Source organism: Homo sapiens, chromosome 6, assembly GCF_000001405.40.
Source record: "Homo sapiens chromosome 6, GRCh38.p14 Primary Assembly".
NCBI lineage: Eukaryota > Metazoa > Chordata > Mammalia > Primates > Hominidae > Homo > Homo sapiens.
The window spans coordinates 40,342,574-40,362,970 of NC_000006.12; the positions used below are offsets into that span (position 1 = coordinate 40,342,574).

The 20,397-nt window shown below is 47.7% G+C and overlaps 1 long non-coding RNA gene across 1 annotated transcript, besides 4 other annotated features; it reads right to left on the minus strand.

Moving 5' to 3' along the window:
- Positions 1,533-2,248: an enhancer, noted in NCBI's record as "H3K4me1 hESC enhancer chr6:40311845-40312560 (GRCh37/hg19 assembly coordinates)". NCBI's record gives its function as "activates a minimal SCP1, AML or CMV promoter by ChIP-STARR-seq in naive H9 embryonic stem cells {active_cell/tissue: H9 hESC(naive)}" and the evidence as "EXISTENCE:reporter gene assay evidence [ECO:0000049][PMID:30033119]".
- Positions 1,772-13,433, minus strand: LINC00951 (long intergenic non-protein coding RNA 951). Its single transcript, NR_038887.1, has 3 exons — positions 10,866-13,433; positions 3,438-3,579; positions 1,772-2,183 (listed from the first exon to the last, which is right to left on the minus strand). It is a non-coding gene; the product is annotated as a long intergenic non-protein coding RNA 951 (long non-coding RNA).
- Positions 2,965-3,678: an enhancer, noted in NCBI's record as "H3K27ac-H3K4me1 hESC enhancer chr6:40313277-40313990 (GRCh37/hg19 assembly coordinates)". NCBI's record gives its function as "activates a minimal SCP1, AML or CMV promoter by ChIP-STARR-seq in primed H9 embryonic stem cells {active_cell/tissue: H9 hESC(primed)}" and the evidence as "EXISTENCE:reporter gene assay evidence [ECO:0000049][PMID:30033119]".
- Positions 17,181-17,806: an enhancer, noted in NCBI's record as "OCT4-NANOG-H3K4me1 hESC enhancer chr6:40327493-40328118 (GRCh37/hg19 assembly coordinates)". NCBI's record gives its function as "activates a minimal SCP1, AML or CMV promoter by ChIP-STARR-seq in naive H9 embryonic stem cells {active_cell/tissue: H9 hESC(naive)}" and the evidence as "EXISTENCE:reporter gene assay evidence [ECO:0000049][PMID:30033119]".
- Positions 17,257-17,551: a silencer, noted in NCBI's record as "tiled region #9486; HepG2 Repressive non-DNase unmatched - State 22:ReprW, and K562 Repressive non-DNase unmatched - State 22:ReprW". NCBI's record gives its function as "represses a minimal TATA promoter and a strong SV40 promoter by Sharpr-MPRA in HepG2 and K562 cells {active_cell/tissue: HepG2 | K562}" and the evidence as "EXISTENCE:reporter gene assay evidence [ECO:0000049][PMID:27701403]".

Below are 20,397 nucleotides of genomic sequence, written 5' to 3' on the forward strand. Positions count from 1 at the left end.
ATAGGGAGTGATGAGGACTGGAAAGAATTCGAGAACAGTGTATTCGGAATTGTTAAACAGTACGTTGGCAAAACAAAACATTTGGTTATGGGTCCCCAGTTTGCCACCTCCAAGACAAAAGTGGGCTGGAAGGGTGAAACTCTGAGCTGAGGGTTAATCAGAACCAGGGTAGCCACACTTCCCTTTCAGATAATTCCAGGGCGGCTCTGAGTCTCTAAAACCTGTGAGAAATGCCACAGCTGGGAGACTTTCCTTTCCTCATTGATTCAAGGAAGTCCAAGAGCCAGGGATGGTGCCCCTCACACTGCCAGGAAGGCCTGACACTACCCCTCCCCATGGCGCAAGCTGAGGCCAATCCGCTCCTTATTTAGAAAGAGCTGGGACTTAAATGTCAGTGGATGATACGGGAGCAGCATGACAATTACCAGCTTAAACTGAAATAAAGGAAAGAAGGATTAAAAAACACCCAGCACCCATCAAGCCAGGCCAGAAGAGGAGAGCAAAGCCCTCTGTTTCTACGTTAACTCTTCATCTGCCAGGCGCAGGTCAGAAGGGTGACTGGGGAGGAAGCTGGGGAGGAGAGGTTGGGTGGGGGGCTGAAGGAAGGTCAGAGGTGGTGCTGACTTGGGCTCCCAGACTCTCAAGAAGGGGGCCCAGAAGGCACCCTGCTCCTTTTGGCAGTACACTCAGTGGTTGGACCTGTGGCTCCAAACTAGGCAGACTGAGTTCAAATCCCAGCTCCTCCACTAACTAGCTCTGTGATGGCTGGCAACTTCCTCAACCTCTCTGAGTTTCAGTTTCCTCATTTAGACCAGTGGGATGATGATAATTCCTCTTAAGATTAAATGGGGTAGTGCCTGTTTGTCACTGGGCAGGCAGCAATACTCAGCAAATGATGCCTCTGCCAATTGGATGCAGTCAGGAGCTAAGAGCCAGGTACAGCACAGTTCACGCCTAATTCCATTACCCCCAGTCATTGAGCAGCAGACAGTCTCTTTTATTTTAATCTTTCTGTAGGGGGAATGTGTGGTGCTCAGATGTAGGTCCGGCAGGAACTTGGCACCTTTGCAGCAGCCTCAGCCTCTCCTTTCTCTTGGGTGCAGGGCTCAGCTGGGCAGGCATGCCAGGACCAAGATCAGGGCCCTCACCTCAGAGCCCCTCTGGGTTGCTGCAGCATCTCCTCTTTTCAGGGTGAACTGCTCTGGGGGCTGGGAGATAGTGGAGATGCACCCCACAGGGCCAAGGCAGCCTGGGCACTTTCCCCAGGAAATTCTTGACACTCTGCACTTTTCCAGCTGGCCTCCTTTAAAGGGGCTGCTCATCTGTCCTCCCCTGCATGTACTAGAATTGGCCCCACAGGCTGACCCAGCTGGACCCCAGGCTCTAGGTGAGCTGTGGCCTGGATTTGTTTACCCATCTCCTTCAACTATCTGCAGGGGAGCAGCCCTTGGTTTCTGCATGAGGGCAGATCTAGGTCACCTTTGAAAGGACCTGCTGGGATTTCTGCAATGCTCCCCTCCAGCGTCCACAGCGGGTCACTGAAGCCCAGCTGATGGTCTGTCCCTGCCTACCCCGAGAGCCTCTGACCCTGAAGCTTGCAGTTTTTCCTCAGCCACATCACATCCTCATCACAGACACCAGTGTCAGAGTCTTCCTTGGCCTCTGAATCAGGCCCAGGCCCCTCCTTTGTTCAGCCCAGCATCCACCTGTCCCAGCCGTGTCCTATATGTCAATCAGCATTCTGTGTAGAAAGTAGAAACACCCAAAGTATCCAGCAGAAAGAGATTTAATAAGGGAAATAGCGACTTACAGAGGGATCAGAGGGCCTAGACAAAAGAAGTTTAGGACCACCCACCGCTAGGCTTTTGGCTTAAGGTTGCATCCCCACAGCTGTGATTCTGAGACCAGGAGACAGCTGCTGCCCCTGCAAGGAAGGACCACTAGTGTGGCTCCAGCTGCCCCGAATTCAGGAAGCTGGTGACAAGACCATGGATATACCAGTTGCTGCAAATCCTCACATTGGCAGGAGCCCGTGGACCATCCAGCACACTGCAGTGGAGCACCTCTGCCTCTCTGCCACTGTCCAGAGCTCATGGAAATGCCTCTTCTTGGCAAAACTGAAACTGCAGCCAGATCCAAACAGCAAGAAACTCTGGGAAATGTCACTTTTGTCCTGCTAGACCCTGTAATACAGAGGGAACATAAAGGGTATGAAACAATGCTAAGTGCTGGTAGACAATACCCAGCACAGCCCAGAACCCACTCAGACCCCAGCTGGCCCGCAGTCCTGGCCTGCTGTAGCCCCACCCAAGTCTATGGCTGGCGCTGACTCCTGCCTCTGCTGCATCGCCCCACACAGCCTCTGTCCCTTCGCCCGATGGAGGACCAGCCCCCTCCATTCCCCAGCCCACACCCAGCTCCTTCAGCTGAGGTCCTCCTAACCCCAGCATATAGTTCCCAGGCCTTCCTGGGGCTTTTCTGGGATGGAACCAATCCAAAGGCTGGCTCCACTGGAGGCTGGTTTGGGACTCAGATGCCTGTGCTCTAGCTGTAAACACAGAATGTCTCTGAGCCACATTCCCAGAGCACATTCACCTAGGGGTCTTGTCCAGCTGTGAGGTTCTGAGATTTCTAAGTGTCTTTCTTTATAAGCAGAGTGGACATGGACACACACACACACACACACACACACACACACACACACACACACACAGTCCTCAGGGAGCTGCAGCTTTGCTGAGTCAACCCAGAGTCACTGTCCAACTCTCCTCTGGAAACGTGGGCAGAGATAGGTGCTGAGGGAGGACGGGTGACTGAAGCAGAAGGCAGGAAAGGCCAGGAGCTGCCCGCCTGCCCAGCGCATCCCCAACCACTGACTTCTGGCTTGAGTGGGCTGGGAAAACCCGCAGAGGGCAGGCTTGGGGAGGACAGAGGAGGCTGGGGCGAGAGACGTGGTAAGGGCAGAAGTGAAGCACTCAGGCCACACGAGAGGAAAAGCCACTGTCTGTGCTGAGCTGGACCTAGGGGCTCAGACCCCAGCCTCTCTGCTGTCCCCTCCTTAGCACTGCCTCAACTAGACCTCTCCCAAAGCAAAGCTATAGCCATGCCGATGACCTTGAGCTGCACATTCAGCTTAATCCACAACAGTGTCAGTGTGAAGGCCTTGCTGTCAGTCCAGGATATTTATAACCTGCTTGCCAGGTCCCACTAACTGGCAGCCGCCAGGAAACTAGGCCACAGGAGCCACAGAGGAGGCAAGCCCTCCCCGCATCCCAACGCCAGCCTCAGATGGCTCCTCCGTGGCTGTTGGCACCCGCCCGGCTGTGTGCCTCCTCCCCATGTCCCTGCTCCCTGCTGGCGATCAAAACCCACCAGAGTTCCCAATGCCTGGGGGCATGTCCACAGGCCTGAGTACAATGTCCATGGCTTCCACTTACCATTGTTTTCCCTGCCTGTTCCCTGTGGTGGTGTGGTGTGGTCATGAAGGTTCCGCCTGCCTGGGGTCAGGTGCAGGTTCCACTGTTCTCTGTGTTGACCTCGATAATCTTGTGTGACTTTTCTGTGTCTCAGTTTTCTTATCTGTAAAATGGAATTAATAATGAAGACTGCATGAATAAAAGGCTCAGAACGGTGCCTGACACATAATAAGGGCTCAGTGTTTGCTAGCTTATCTAGAAAGGTCTATCAGATAGCAGCAGAAGCTCCAGGGCCAGGCTGTTCAGGTTCAAATCCTGGTTTGGCCACTCACTGGCTATGTGACCTTGTGCCCATTAATTATGGTTTGGATGTTTGCCCCCTCCATATCTCATGTCAAAATGTGATCCCCAGTGTTGGCGGTGGGGCCTGGTGGGAGGTGTTTGGATCATGGGGACGGATCTCTCATGAATGGCCTGGTGCCCTTCTTGTGGTAATGAGTGAGTTCTCGCTCTGAGTGCATGCGAGATCTGGTTGTTTAAAAGTGTGTGGGACCTCCCCCTTCTCTCTCTCGCCCCCTCCCTCACCATGTGTCGCACCTGTTCCTGCTTCATCTTCCACCAAGAGTAAAAGCTCCCTGAGGCCTCACCAGGAGCAGATACTGGGTCGTGCTTCCTGTGTAGCCTGCAGAACCGTGAGCAGATTAAACTTTTTTTTTTTTAATAAATTACTCAGTCTCAGGTATTCCTTCTTAGCAACACAAAAACCATGTAAAATTGGAAATGATAATAGTATCTACCTGTGGAATTGTAAGGATTAAATAAGCTAATCTGTAAAGCTCTGAGAATGGTGCCTGGCGCACAGTAGATGGTCAATTAGTATTAGCTCTGATAATGATAATGATTACCATCATCATCATCATCATCATCATCATTTATTCTGGAAAGATTTTCTCCCAGCCAGGCTGCCCTCTCTTCTTCCTGCCTCCACACTTGAGCTGACGCAAACATTCTCCTTACACACACTCTCTCTTCTTCCCTCCCAATTCAAATGTTGCATTTCTTTCAAGCCTCACCTCCTCCATGCAGCCTTCCTTGACCATTTTGGTGAGCTTTGCACTGTCTGCCTTACCCAAACCACCTTAGACCTGATCCCCCACATGATTCCCTTGAGTAAACTTAGACTCCAGACCCTGAAGGCAGAGGCTCTGCCAAGCCCACTTCTCCTTCCTGCCTTATGCTGGGCCAACAGCGGTGAGGTCAAAGATGTCCTGGATCAGATGTGTCCTTGCTGAGTGTCCAGGGCCCTCTGCTCTAGGCAGGGGTCTGATTCCTGGGATGAGGGTGCAGTGTGACCTGGTCCTCAATAGACAGCTGTGTGTATGGGCGCGCACACACACACACACACACACACACACACTTGCACCCTGTAAAGTAAAACCTAGTTGTTTCCCCAGAAATAATCCCACATTCTGGCCACTAACAACCAAAATGCATTTTTTCCCAAGCCCAGTCATTTTCTGGATTTTCTCAGTTTGAGAGAGGACCAGGCCTGTATGCTGTGTCCTAGGGGTGGACCGGAAACCTTTCCCCACCAGAAAAGGGCAGGCAGGAAAATGTCTTCCTCGGACACCCAGGCACAGCAAAGCCCAGGGACACAGGGCTCAACACGGGGGAGGGTGGGGGAGGCCAAGGATCTGGCTCAAACACCACAGTCCTTTCCTTGAGGAAGAAAGCACCACCCTAGTGTCACTGTGTTCCCTCTGTTGAAGGCCTGACAAACAGCAGGTCAGCCCAGCAGGTCAGTGGTTCTGACCTGGCACTCTCAGCCTCAGCTAGTCAGAGGCTTGCTGACACTAACCCCCTCCTCCCCTCCTCCCCTCCTCCCCACAGGCCTGTCACTGCGGAGAGCTCTCCTCCAGCCTCCTCCACTGACTCCCCAGCAACTTCCTCTCCTCTCCTCTCGGGAGTGGCCAGGATCAACGTTGCTCAGCCCACAGGGGCTGCCTTTGGTGGGAGCTCCCCTTTTTCCTGTGTGCTGGGGGAAGGGGCAGGGGATAAGAAAGGGGCTCAGCAGGGTTGGGGAGGGGCCCTTCTTCTGTACTCATTGTCCCCTCTGGGGGTTGAGGGCGGTTACAAAATGGATGAGGATGGGAAGAGGCCCTCCTGCTGAGGCCCCTGTGCTTGGCCCTCAGGCCGTCCCCTTACCCATCTCCCCTGCTCTAGTCTAAGAGCACCTAAGAAAGAGACTCACTCTAGCTCTCATGACCCACAACTGAAAATTAATCCCCTCCACGTCCTTTCTAAGTTATCCCAGAGAATAATGCCATGTCAAAGGGACATTTGTCTAATGGAAGGAGCCCAGGCCAGGGGAGAGGGGTATGGGGGAGAGAAGCCTTAAAAAATCCAGCCAAGCATCTGTGGTTTGTGCTCCATGTAAAGTGAAATCTGGGTATTTCTTCCACTAAACAGCATGGGAATAAGTGTAGTGATACTAGCTGGCATTTACACAGCACACTACAGTTACAAGATACTACAAGATCCTTGCCACACCCTCTCAGTTTTTTACTCTTCTGCATTGCAATAGAGCAAGGGAAGGCCATTGAACCCCCTTTGACGTGGAAGGAAACAGAGCCTCAGAGCAGCTAGGAAGGGGGGATCAGAGGCTGTTGGTGTCCCACCCAGATGTCCTTTACCAGCTGGGGACTCACTCCAAGCTGCTACAGTGTTGGCTGCTAATAGCTCATAACTGTACCCTTCTCCTCCACATTGCCTTAGCCAGCAGGAGCCACTTCCCTGGGAGACGCTTTGGAGGTTAAGCCCTCTACCATAGCCCCTCCCCTGGGAATAGCCTTTAGCTAAGGTCTGACTGCTGTAGGGACAGAAAAGCCACCCTCTTGTCTTCAGGTATAACAAACTCCATGTGCCGTACACGCCCCAAAGCCCCTGTGGGTTTGGGCCCTGCTAGGCCTCCCATGAATTGGCATCTTTGCCTGGACCCTTCTGCTGCTCCATCATGCCCCACAATCCCTCCCAGCTTCTCCTGCAAGCACTCACTCAACAAACCACACGCTGGAATCTCCTCTCAAACCCTGCTTCTAGGGAACCAGACAGAGGGCTAGTACACAGGGCTTCAGATCCTGAATCCCGATGTTCCTGAGACAATCTGGTTCCCAGGCATCCTGTCGGGGTCTGTTGTGGTGAGAACCTTGCTTTCTTCCAGGACCTCAGCTCCCTCCCTCTCCTCCTCCCAGGGAAGAAGCTGGTTCTTAAGACTTTGACTGTGAACTGAGGGATGAAGCTGCCCAGAGCCCCGGCACCTCCCACACCCCGCTGAAAGCTCCCTCTCTCCCCCTCCCACCCCGGCTGTGGCAGCCAACACCATGACTCAGGCCCCATCCCCACAGCCCTCCACAGGCCCCCAGATTGCTACCCAGTGCCCTGGCATGTTAAGCAGTACAGATGGCAATTAACTGCGTGACAGGAAAATATCCCAAGACTAATTATTTCAGGGACAAGACCGGGGACCATTAATAAGTGATGAAGGAATCTTTCCAGAGGCTCCTTGGCTGGCTCCTGCACCAGCCTGCAGAAGGCTGGAGATGGAAGGGGACCCTTCCCCACGCAGAGCTCAGTGGTGTGAGTGGGTGGGTGGTGAGACAGGTGGCAGTGCCTTTCCAGGGGAAGTCAAGCCGCTCTTCCCAGCAGTTAAATCGACAGCTGTTAAGGGTGCAGTCCTCATCTTTCAGACAGGCAGAAAGCAAACAACAGTGGTTCCCTGGATCTTCTCTGATGAATAATTGATTGTAGAATGCAATCTCATGAATGAATTCCGGGAGAATCCCCAGTCACCCCCTTCTACATTCTCACATCTGCCTCCCCTTCCCTGGCTCAATCCAAGTGGCAGGCACAATTTCCATTTTCCTGAAACGAATCTGTTTCCTCTGTGCCTGCTTCTAACGTGGCCCCCGGGACAACTCCCACAAGGAGCAGCAGTCAGAGGCCAGGAACAAAGGGTGGCGTGCCCAGATGGAGGGCTGAACCACACCGGGTCAGCCCTGTGCTTGGACAGTGTCTCACTCCAGCAGCATATCACAGCAAGGCCGGGAGAGGAGAAAAGCATCGTGCATTCATAAACCCTTTCATGTGCCAGAGTGAATGCAAATGCACACACTCTCACATTCACATGTACACACTGACACACACCCACTCTCGTACCCACACTGACACACACACATGCACAGACACATTCAACACACACACACTGACACACTCACTCTCACACATACACACAGACACACTCTTGCATACACACTGGCACACTCACACATGCACACTGACACACTTACACACATATGCACTGACACACACATACACACTCATACACATGACACACTGACAATTGCTCTTGCATACACATGCACACTGATACATATGCACTGACACACTCTCACATACCCAGACACACACACACGCCCACACACATTGATGCACACCCACACATACACTGACACACATGTAAAGTGACATACATATATACACACTGACACACACACTGACAAACTCCTACACTGACACACAAATATTCACTGACACACACAGATACACACATTCACTTACATACACTGACACACTAACACAAACACATGCACATTGACACACGTGCACTGACACACACATACACACTCACATAGTGACACACATACACGCTGATACACAAATATGCACTGACACATGCTCACATTCACATAGCCTCACACATACACATACACTGATACATACACACTGACACACACCACACAACTGACACATTCTTTCTCACACACCCTCTCACACTCAGATGCACACACTGACACACACAGGCACACAAACACACACTGACACACATATGCATATGCACTGACACATGCTGACACACACACATACACACTGACACACACACACACACCCATGGATACACACTCCCACACATACATGCATACTGACACACTCTCATTCTCTCTCACACACATTCACATACACTCTCACAATGACCATACACTCACACTCACACATTCTCACACACACACTCTCACACTTACACACATGTACACACTGACACACAAGCCCTTTCTCTCTCACACACACATACTCACACCCAGTTGAACAGACAGGGGCTTCCATACTTTAAGAGCCTAAATAGGTTGGGCGCGGTGGCTCACTCCTGTAATCCCAGCACTTTGAGAGGCCGAGGTGGGTGAATCATGAGGTCAAGAGATCGAGACCGTCTTAGCCAACATGGTGAAACCCTGTCTCTACTAAAAATACAAAAATTAGCTGGGGGTGGTGGTTTGCACCTATAGTCCCAGCTACTCGGGAGGCTAAGGCAGGAGAATCGCTTGAACCCGGGAGGCGGAGGTTGTAGTGAGCTGAGATCGCGCCACTGCACTCCAGCCTGGATGATAGAGCGAGACTCCATCTCAAAAAAATTAAAAAAAAAAAAAGAGCCTAAACATGAAGGAGATATTTATGGGGGAAGAGATATTTGCTTCGCAAAAGGATTTGCAACAGGGCTTCTTTCAGTAATAAGAAACCAAAGTGCATTGAAAATGGAATTTGATTTACAAAAATGTGATTTATCTGCAAATTTTCAGAAGCCCATGCCTTGTAGGGTATGGATGTGTGCTTGCAAATATGCAGAACTTGTCAGTGCCTCTCTCCATGTAGTTGGGGAGAGGGGCAGGGATGTCAGATGGAAATCCTCGCCAAGTCTGCTGACTACACACTCAAGGGTCTGATGGCAATCTAGCTTGGATGGCCACAAATACCATCTCCTTCCGCACCTCCAGCTTGCAAAGGGGAAACTGAACACTTTATCCTCAAGGCTACCACGATCCAAAAATTCAAGGTGTATTGTCCTCAAAAGGTCCTCATCTCCAAATTCTTTCCTTTTATCCCCTAACTCACTAACCAGCTCAGCCTCCAATGGATGTTTTGAGTGGGGTTAACTAGGAAAGATCTTATCAATTATCTCAGCTGACTTCTTCATTGATGACTGATGAAAAAAATGAGGCAGGAGCCTGCCCCAAACCAGCACCTACTAGACCCTGTGCCGTCCAGCCTTCATCCTCACCAGGCATCCCCATATAGTTGTACAAGGCCAAAGCCAAGAGAAAAGGCTCTGGGCAGCACAGTCCCACTGTCCTGTCTCTTCCAGCCCCATGCCTCCCTCCCTCTCCCTGCTTCACTCCCCTTCTTTCCCTGCTGGAAGTGAACAGATGAGTCATTTGAACTTTAGCTTCCTAGACTGCTCTTCTGGATGAGTTTGGAACTCACTCTTTTTGGTTAAGGACACCATCCACTAATTAACACCCCCAACCCTTAGGAGACAACTCCTGTGCTGGACACTAAACTAGGGTCTCAAAGGATTGTCTTGGTAACGCCTTAAAGGAACGGACACCTAGGGACTTGAAGACACACCAGGGAGTAAAATTCAGGTCTCTGATAATTTCCAGAACTTGTTCCAGCAGACAAACGGACTCTTCTTCAAATGTAAGCTCCTTTCTTGTAATAACAAGAAGGCTGATCAAAATAGCAAATACTTATTTAAAGAAAACCACAGCAGATGTATATGCCAGCTATTGTGCTAAGCCCTTTACATATGTGAACACATTCCATCATCGCCATAATGCTCTCTAAAGGAAGTACTATCATTACCCCTCAGAGGCCCAGAGAGGTTCGGTAACTCCCTCAAGGTCACACAGCTAGTAAGTGACACAGGAGGGAATTGAGTTCTGACTCCCTGAGCCCTGCAGACATCTCTATTTCTGACCTCAGATCCTACCAATCTTCCCCCACCACCCCCACCCTCTTCTCTCCAGCTACAAACACACCAAGCCCATTCTCCACAAGGCTTCTGACTTTGCTGTTTCCTCTGCCCGGAAGGCTCCACCTCCAGCTCATCCTGTCTCCTCAGTGGGGCCTTGCCTGACAATCCCATCTAAAGTAGCGACTGTGGTCACCCCCACCCTCACCTACCCTTCATTTACTAGGCATCTATCTGCTGTAATTCCATCAGCATTCCTCACTACCTCAAATGATCTTATCTGTTGGTTTACTGATTCCACCACAACGAAAACTGCAATGTGTGCAGCGATTCTTCCCCCTCCTTCACTACTGTGCACTTTCATCTATAACACCTTGGCTTGGCACAAAGTGGGCATGCAATAAAGACTGATCAAGGAGTGCTCTATTCACAAACCAACATGCACACACACTCACATGCACACACACTGCACGCTGGCGTGTGCATGGGAATGCATTCACATTAGACCACAGGCAGATGTCAAGTCAGTGATACAGTCCTCTGCAGTGTAACACCGATAGAAGTGGTGAGGCCAGACTGACATAAATGGGCTTTCTAGCAGCCGATGCTAAGAAACAGAATTCCTCTGAGGACAGATCCATAATTACCTGGCCTGGAAGACTGCAAACAGAAAATAGAGCCTCTGTGTAGGAGCCCCAGCATCTCCACCACCTGGTCCAGGCCTTTTGTGTTGGTTGCCTGGAGAAATGGAAGATGATTAAAAGGTGTGAGAAACTGGCCCCTTCAGAGTCCTTGGAAGGGGAGGGCGCTAGACCAGTTGCTCTAGTTACTGAATTGAGCTTGCTAAATATAGCTGGGTCACACATGGGGCACTGAGGAGGCAGGTCTGAAATCAGATGGGGTGGAGGGAGCTTCCCAGTTCCCTGCCCCATGCCTTATACCACCACCCCAGGCCCAGTTTGTAGTGAGGGGGTGCCCTTGACATGGAGGTGGAGAAAGAGGGAGAAGCAGATGCCTAAGCTTATGGTTGTTCTGATCCAGTGCCTGCCCAGAGCTGGGCATTCCATTCTGAATGGCAGATATCTGAGGTCAAGGTACAGCCAAACTCTAGCAGATAGGACACTTGTTCTATGATACTCAGGCTTGATCAATTTCAATGCTGCTCAAAGCCTTCGTGTGTGCATTTGTGAGTGTGGTTCATACAGTAGGAGGGGCAAGAAGGTCAATATGTAAATATGATATCTTTATAGAGCAGAAGCATGTGGGTGTTGGTGAGAGCAAAACTCTGGAGCTGTCACTAGTGGCATAGAGCTGGATGGGGACTACCTCTGCAGCCCAGCAGATTCCCAAAGCTCCTCCTTCCACAGAAGAAGATTCCTAGAATCATGTAGTAGGTGGAAAGGGCTGAGAAAAGCTCTCCATAGCAGAGGGCCTGTGGAGCCCAAGCCCTCTGAGACATTTGGCAAGCCAGGGTGCATGCCTCTGGAATCACCACACTGCAAGGTGCCCAACATGCCCCTCCCCCTTGTCCTCTTGGGCAATCCCAGCCTTTGGAGCTCTTGGTTCCAAAAGCTCTTCCCTAGCCCCAGGTGATGTTCCCCTGGACTCTTAGCCAGAAAGCCTTGGAATGGTCCTGAGAGCACCCACTGTGGTGGTCTGAGATTCTCCTTCTCAGCTCATGAATAACCATCCTACCCAGGCCTTCTACCAGCCCAGAGACCTTGTCTGTAAAATGGGAACTACAATGACCTCTTCAGAGGTTATTCTGAGGGTGAAATGAGAAATGGCAGTAAAACGTGTACAAGTCCAGTAGCAAAGATGGCATTAGAATGTTTGCTATATTTTCTTTCTCTCTTCTCTTTGTGTCTCTTTGGATTTTGTATTTCCTACAGGAAGGAGATGTGGCCAAACTGTGATGTTGCTTCCTACCTCCTTAAACTACCCTAAGAAGCTTCCTTCTCCACCCCTACCTCTAGTGAAAGCCCTCACCACTTCCCATGTTGTTGCATATGGCAGGATTTCCTTCTTTGCTAAGGCTGAATTCTACTCCGTTACATGTATATTCCACTTTTCTTTAACCGCTCCTTCGTTAATGAACACCAAGGTTGCCTCCACATCTTGGCTGTTGTGGATAATGCAATCAACATGGAAGTGCATGTCTGAGAACCTGATTTTAATTCTTTTGGATGAATACCCAGGAGTAGGATTGCTGGATTTCACTTATATGGAGTATCTAAAATAGTCAAACTCCCAGAAGCAGAGAGTGGAATGGTGGTTGCCAGGGACTGGGAGGAGGGGGAGATGGAGAGTTGTTATTCAATAGGTACACAGTTTCAGTCATGCAAGGTGAATACATTCTAGAAATCTGCTGTACAATGTTGTTGTACATTGTTGTAGTTAACAATAGCTTATTGTACACTTAAAAACTTGTTAAGGGAGGAGATCTCAAGTGAAGTGTTCTCAATACAATAAAAAAATCATCAAAATCACAATGCCCCATTCTGCTGGTTTCTGTGAGGGAGGCTGATTGATCTTGCTGCCTAGTTGGGGACAGTAAGCCGGGCTATACCTGACACTATATTGCATCTGTGTTGCTCTTCCTGCTGCTGCCTTTGTTCCAGATGTCTCCTGACTTTCTTGTTCTTTCACAAGAATCAAAGCCTGTGATTATTGGTCAAGCAAGAATACAGGGCAGGAGACCACCTCACCCATCCAAAGAAATGCATGCAGAAAAGCCATGTTTTCTAATTGTGGGGAGCCACCACCTGACCCTACCCAGGCTCCCTCCTTCCTGTCTTATACCATCTGAGCCCCAGGTACCTGTAGAGGGATCTGCTCATAGGACCTGGGGCCTAAGTTTCTGCCCCTCCACCACCAGTGTCTAGTCTCCAACTTCAGTGGAGAGGGAGAGCTAGGGCACCTAGAGAAAAGCCCCATCGCTGCCTCCTTTCTCAGGGTGAGGTTCTCATGACTGCTCACTGGGAAGGACTGGGATGTGAGCTGGAATCCCAGTATGAGGAGAAAGTGTGCCCCCATACTCCTTGCTCCTTCTTTTCCTTTCCTTCCCTTCCTGAAGCTCAGCTGTGACCCTCCATTTACGTCCATGGGGGGAAGCTCTTTACCTGGGCAGGCCCCCTGTTTCTCAGCCAAGTGTCCCAGTACTGCCAGCCCTGTCTTGAAGTTGACCCCAGAACATCTTCTCCCATGGTTCAAAGGGCCTGGGCAGCCACTCTTGTTCCAACAGAGCCACCCTTGCATCAGGGTGGGGAGAACAGGGTTCTTGAATGAAGGTTTTATATTGTATTTCTTACTGCTTGAAGTTGTACTTGGGGGTGAAGTGGATTAAGACAAGAGTTTATTGTTACTTTCCACTACAACCAGGTGGACTGTACCTGAGAGAGAAGCGGGATGAGAATAAAAGGGAGGGACTCCCATCTCCCCTAGAGGAGCGATGGCCTCCTGTTACCCTGCAGGCTCCCTAGAGCAGAGCTGTGATTTGCTGGGAGTGGGGACCATCTTCTTATGCATAATTATGTTTTGCAGAGGGGGTTCTAGAACACTAAGGAATGGCTTCTTCACCACTGGCACACTGGGCAAGGCTGGGGAGAGCTATGGGGTATGGTTTCCCTGCTGTGGTTTATTGGTAATTGTACCAAGAATAGTGGAAAGGATGACTCTTGGGTCACAGATGACTGTGGCAGCAGTGCCATCTTCATGTGGGTGGGGAGGTGACTCCCAGGGAATTGGGACCCTGTGCTTATGTCGTTTATGTCTGAAGTTATATCAAGGGCTCTTGGATGCCTTTCAGTTCACATTTGGGACAGTGAGGCTCAATTTCCTGCTGGGCCTGGGGGAAGTAAGCAGCTGGCCCCACCTCCTTAGAAATTTTCTCCAGTCTAAGCCCTGACTCATAGCTGGTTTTTCCTTTCAAATGATGACCACAGCCCACTCTGGATGCCAAATCTGTCGGTTCTCAGGGATCTAGGAGGGCAAGAGTGGATCTGGTCAACCTGGGGAAGACTCATGGGGGACAGGCAGGATTTCCCACTCTCCCAGGCCCTGGATGAACTCTGATATTCAACATGCCCAGTATTACTGAGGAAAATATTGGTACTCCTTAGCACAAATATCTCACAGAGAATTCTAACCTCAGATAAGGAAGACCAGGCTGGATGGCCTCTGAAATACTTGCTGTGCCAGTTCAGTGATTCTAGAACCCAATATGCCCAATGTTATCATTAATATGCTGCCATTGATTACAATGTGCTCAGTGATGCATATAATTAATATAATGGAGGCCGTTAGCACTTCCACTTCTCCAAGTCTGTGTTATGCATTTAATTACTTTAGCACTTCACAGTTTATCAGTATACCATCCCCTGAGCTAGATATTTCTCCAATGCCATTTTACAAATTAAGGAATTTTACAAATTAAGGTCATAGAATAAAACCCCACCTTCCTCACTCACGAAGAGACAAGCAGCTTCCCCCTATCTAGGCTGCTGAAGGACCTTCTTGTTCTTCCCAGGCCACCACCCTATAGCCCACACTGTTTGCCCTCCCCCACAAGCTCACACAACCACATCCCCGAAACTCCAAAGGAGTTTGCTCCCTCAGGCCTCCTTGGTCCTCAGAAAAAACAGTCATTCTTTTTTTTTTTTTTGAAGGTGTCTCGCTTTGTTGCCCAGGCTGGAGTGCAGTGGCGCAATCTCTGCTAACTGCAACCTCCGCCTCCGGGTTCAGGCGATTCTTCTCCCTCAGACTCCTGAGTAGCTGGGATGACAGGCGCGTGCCACCACGCCCAGCTAATTTTTGTATTTTTAGTGAGATGGGGTTTCACCATATTGGCCAGGCTGGTCTTGAACTCCTGACCTCGTGATCCTCCCGCCTCATCCTCCCAAAGTGCTGGGATTACAGGCGTGAGCCACTGCGCCAGGCCACAACAGTCATTCCTAACTGGATGGAAAGCTAATTTCTTCCCCTTCAAGGCATTAGTTGAGCTTCAATAAATGAGACAAGCAGGTCTGAGAACCACTAAGAGCACCCGTGAATTCTTCTGGCTGTAAGAACTACCTTGGACTGAGTGATTTTCTGGCCAATCCATCCTTGCCCAGGCGGTGTGTTCCTCAGAGTCACAGGTACCTGGTAAATTTGTGAAAACATGCCTGTCTGTCAGCTCGAGAAGCTAGTTCTTCAGGGAGGCTTGTAAAGACCTCAAAGTCATGGGGCTATGTTCTTTCATTTCTCACAACATGGGGAAGACTGTCTAGCATTCAGCAAGTTACTAAATGTGAGTTGTTTTGATTTCTACGTCTCCCTCACATTGCTGCTGGGCTCTGTGTTCTAAAGTTCATGGCCCATGTGTTAGGATCCGTGACTTGGGACATTAAAGACTTTTCTGGGTTTTATACTGGGGTAGGAGAATATATTTACTGAAGGCTTACTCAGCCCTGTCCCTTACTAGGACTGTGACCTTGGATGTCTCTTGTTTAACTTTTTTATATCTTAGCTTGTTCATCTAAAACATGAATCTTTGTGTCATGGGCTTAGTGAGGATTAGTTATCATAGCACATATGAGGTGCTTAGCAGAAGTTGCGTAAAGAAATACCAGTTTCTCCCTTTCCTACCCATAAAGCCCCATCTACATTGCTAAGAACCTTGCTTTTTGTGGAGCCTTACAATAGTCAAGTGAGATTAGCAGGAGCCCCACCTCCTGGGCTTCAATCTTTCATCACAGGTGCCATTGCTTGGTCCATCCGTGTCCTTGAAACATTTGGTAAAGCCACATCTTAGAGCATCTCCTCTGCTCCCCTCCCCTAGGCTGAACAAATCTAACTCCCTTGAGATCCAGCTTTATCCCAGCCCCACCCTCCTCCCCTGCCTGTGTCATGGCTGACTCAGGGACCATGCCAGGTTCTAGAAGGCCAGTGGCTCATTATCCCTACCCTCTGCACTTTGGCCCCATGGGCCAGCTTTAGCTCCTCATTTGAGGAGGCCTGGGTGGGGTGATGGGCAGGGCCAAGCCATGGGATATTTACAGAGGGTTCTGGAGTCGGGTTCCCTGATGTGACAGCTGCTGTGTCCTCAAGAGCATGTGCACCCCCATACCTACTGATCCTGGGCTAAAAAGGCAACAGGTAAAAGTGAGGTTGTCAGGAGTCCTGAGGTGCCCACAGGTGGTATATGACCCCTAGGCAGGAAGAAAGAGCACCCTGAGGCCAGAATATAGGCTTCCCTTCCTCAGAGTCCTAGTCCCTGCTTTTTGTTGTTGTTGTTGATGCCACATTTACTGCCACTGCTACTCCTCTCTTGCATTCTCTGGTGGCTGGAATGTGAGAAGGGAGAGAAAGTAAAGAACACTATCAGGGGTGCCCCCAGGCTCTGAGTTTCAAGAGTCTCCTTGTCCACTGCTTCAGCCAGAACCAGAGGTTTTCTTCTGCATCTCATTGTCGGCACTGTGCGGCTCACTCCTGGGTTTCAGGTCATGCTGAGTTCTGCTCAAGAGATTCCAGAGGAAAAAGTGTGCACAACTCAACACCAGTTTTGTGGTACTTGGAATCCTGGCTGTTTTCACCCATCTACTTGCTGGTATTTACTGTTCGGATCATTCAATTAGCTCCACCATGCCCTCTATCAAGGTTGTATCGTCAGTGGGAGAGAGAGGCTGCCATGTGTTTACTTCATCTTACCTGGAACAGAACACAGTAAAATGGTAAAGCCCTATCAAGTCCTTCTCCTCCCTCCAGAAGGAAGGAGTCAAGCCCTGGCTTATTGTCACATTGTCCCGTATCCCTGTAAAAACACAATCACACCTATTCACTTATTCATTCATGTAACAAATATTTCTTGAGCACTGATTCTGTGCTAGGCCCCTTCTAGACACTGGGTATACAGCAATGAAAAAACAGACAAAACTACTGTCAGGCAAGGCAGTAACAATATAAACAAGTAATATCATATATAATATGTGGGTAATAAGTACCATTGTGAAAAATTCAGGAAGGTAAAAGGATAGGAATGCTTTTTGATAAAGGTGGACAGGCAGGACCTCTTTGAATAGGTAATGACATCTGAAGAGAAGGTAAAAAAAAAAAAGTGACCTCTCCAAATACCTGAGGCATTCCTGGAATGGAAATTGCCATCACTCTCTAAGAGATGAGGGCGTGTTCCTGGCAGGTGTGAGGGAAAGCCAGGAGCCTGTGAGCAGGACTGCAGGTGGCAAGGAATGCAGTTGAGGATGAAATTGGAGATGGGCAGGAGAGGCAGCAGGTCACATGGACCGTGTAGGCTGTGATTAGGACTTTGGCTTTTACTCTGAGTGAGATGGGGCATCAATGTGGAGCTTGATGCAGGGTGGTATTATCTAATTTATAATTCAACAGGATCCATCTGACTGCTATTGAAAATAGATTGGGATAGGGGAGTGGGGCCAGAAGGAAGCAGAAAAGTCATCTAAAAGGCTATTAAAGTAATTCAGGAGAGAGAAAATTGTTTATTGATCCAGGGTGATTGAGGTGGAGGAAGTTAGAAAGGCTTGGGTTCTGAATATATGTCGAAGGTAGAATGGACAAGATTTCTTGACAGAGTAAGCTTGGATAGTGAGAGAAGGTGAATGGTCAACTTGGCATTGGCACGGAGACCATCTGGTAATTCCTGCTGACCCAGGAATCTCCTACCCAACACCCCTGACATCATGATGTCCAGCCACTTAATGAAGAAATAAGACTCCCTGGGAGAAAGACTTCATTACCTCACACAACAGCCTTTTGCGGTCCTCTGACATTCTTTCCTATGCTCACTCAAAATCCATGTCCCTATGTCTTTCTCTCACCGCTCCTAAAGCAATACAAAGCAGACCTTGACCACCTCCCACAGGACAGTCCTCCAGATTCCTCCAAGGTTATCCTTGAAACTGAACCTTCCATAGTTGATGTTCCCCATTAATGCTGTTTTCAGGAGGAAGTAACTCTGGGTTTTCTACTAAGTAGAAGAATCAGGAACTGATTGCTCTCTGAGCTCCTTCTAGGACATCATTCATGAATTTTGATATGTGATTCACATTGAGGCCATGAATCTAAAATTGGCAAATGCACTCATCTCCATCCTGTTTCTCAGGTGGGAGATTGGAGAGTTAGCTTAGCACATGTTTCCCTACCATTAAGGAAACCACAGCAATTAGAAGAGCCCTTCCTTAGACATCCACCTCCATGTCTCCCCCATTATGACCATTATGGTAAATGAACTAGCCACATTCCTATTTAAAAGCCATTTCTCCACTGTTCTACTACATCCCCTTCCTTCATACATGTTTAAGAAATTGATGTCTCTAACAGGTGAAAGGCACCATGGAATAGAGCTAATATTTTTTTAAATGAAATACAAGCACTCTTTATAGAAATAAGAGGAAACCTAAATTTATGGAAGGGCCAATGTGCCTGGAAAAATTGACTGAGAATAATTAATTCTGAGACATAGCCTATACAACTATTAGACTATTAAAGAGAGAAAAAAAAACAATACTTATGGCCTCCACACACAACAACCATAATATCTAGAAAGGTATGAAAATTATATAAGCCTCACAATATTCAAGAAAAACCTGCAAAGCAAGGCAAGAGTGGAACATTATTTTCAAGTAATCAAAGAAAAGAAAATGAACTGTGAGCCACGGGCTTTATTGCAGCAAAACCATCATTCAATTATTAAGACTATAGAAAAACAAATGATTTATTCAAGGAATGAGAGAACTTTGTACACATGAACCCTTCTTGGATAATCTGCTAAACGGAAACATTGGCAAAATAATGATGGTGAGCATGTGGTATATTTACTGCAGATCTAAGATTTAAATAAGAATCAGGGACAAGGATGGAAAATAATTTATAAGTATTGTATGTTCTAACAAGGTAGAAAGAATACAACTTAAAATTTGAGCTGAGAATAAAGACAGAAAGAGGAAAGTAGAATAAGATCATTGTTGCATAGAAAACAGGCAGATGTCAAATTATACCATGTAGAATGAACAATCCACATAGTAAAAGGTTAAGTAAGAAAAAAGATGAATAAAGATATTTTAAAAGACACCAACGCAAAGGTAACTACTGAGCAAAATCGTACATTTTTTTTAAATCTCAAGGGAAATCTTTTAAAAAGATCAAGGAAGACATATCATATAAAGAAAGAAACACACTAAACATAACAATACATAGAAAAATTATAGGATAAATTGACACAGGAACTTTACACCTAATATAATAGTCATATCAGTATATGAGAATGAGCTTAAGTTGCCTACTAAAAGAAATGGATTTTCAAAATAACTTACAAAGCAATAGACTGTGGCATATTCCGCATATAGGAGAAACATTGAAAACAAAGTGATCCAAAGGCTTTAATTTTAATGAAAAAGAGAATGTAAAGAAGAAGATGGGAAAAGTCATGCTAGCTCAATGGGAATAACTCTAAAGCAGGAGTAGCTACTCTAATATCACCCAATGCAGAATTTAGAACAAAATGCTATTAAACAAGAAAATTAATAGCATTATAATGCAAAAACCAACGACCTACAATAAAATATATTATTTATTAAATAATATCTATGTAAGAGATTATACAAAACCCATCTGTATGTAAAATAAAAATTACAGCAATGCTAGGATAAATAGACAGAAACAATAATGATAAGATAGTTTTACACATTACTTTCAGGACAAGAGAAGTCATGTGAACAAAAAATAAATATGGATAGAGAAGACTTAACCAATGTCAATGATAAATTAGATTTCATAAATATGTATCAAACGCTGTACCCTTTAATAAAGAATATTTTCCCTTCTCAAGCAGAAGTGAAAAATTTATTGAAATTCCTCCTATATTAGATCACAAAGGAAATATAAGTAAGTTCCATAGTAGGAATATTATAAACAGAATTATCTAATCACAATGCAGTAAAAGTAGAAACAAAAGGCAAAAATTTAAAATGCCCTTCCAAAGATAAAGGAAAAGAGACTAACTTCACTCTCCAGCCTCAAACAACAAAAACATCTGAAGGAAACATTTAAAACAATGATTTTTAAGATACTGGACATCAAACCATGAAAGACAGTGATCCTGAAGAACTGGAAGACAAATGAGATAGTTCTACAATTTCACCAGCTAAGCCCCTTGAGTGGATTTCC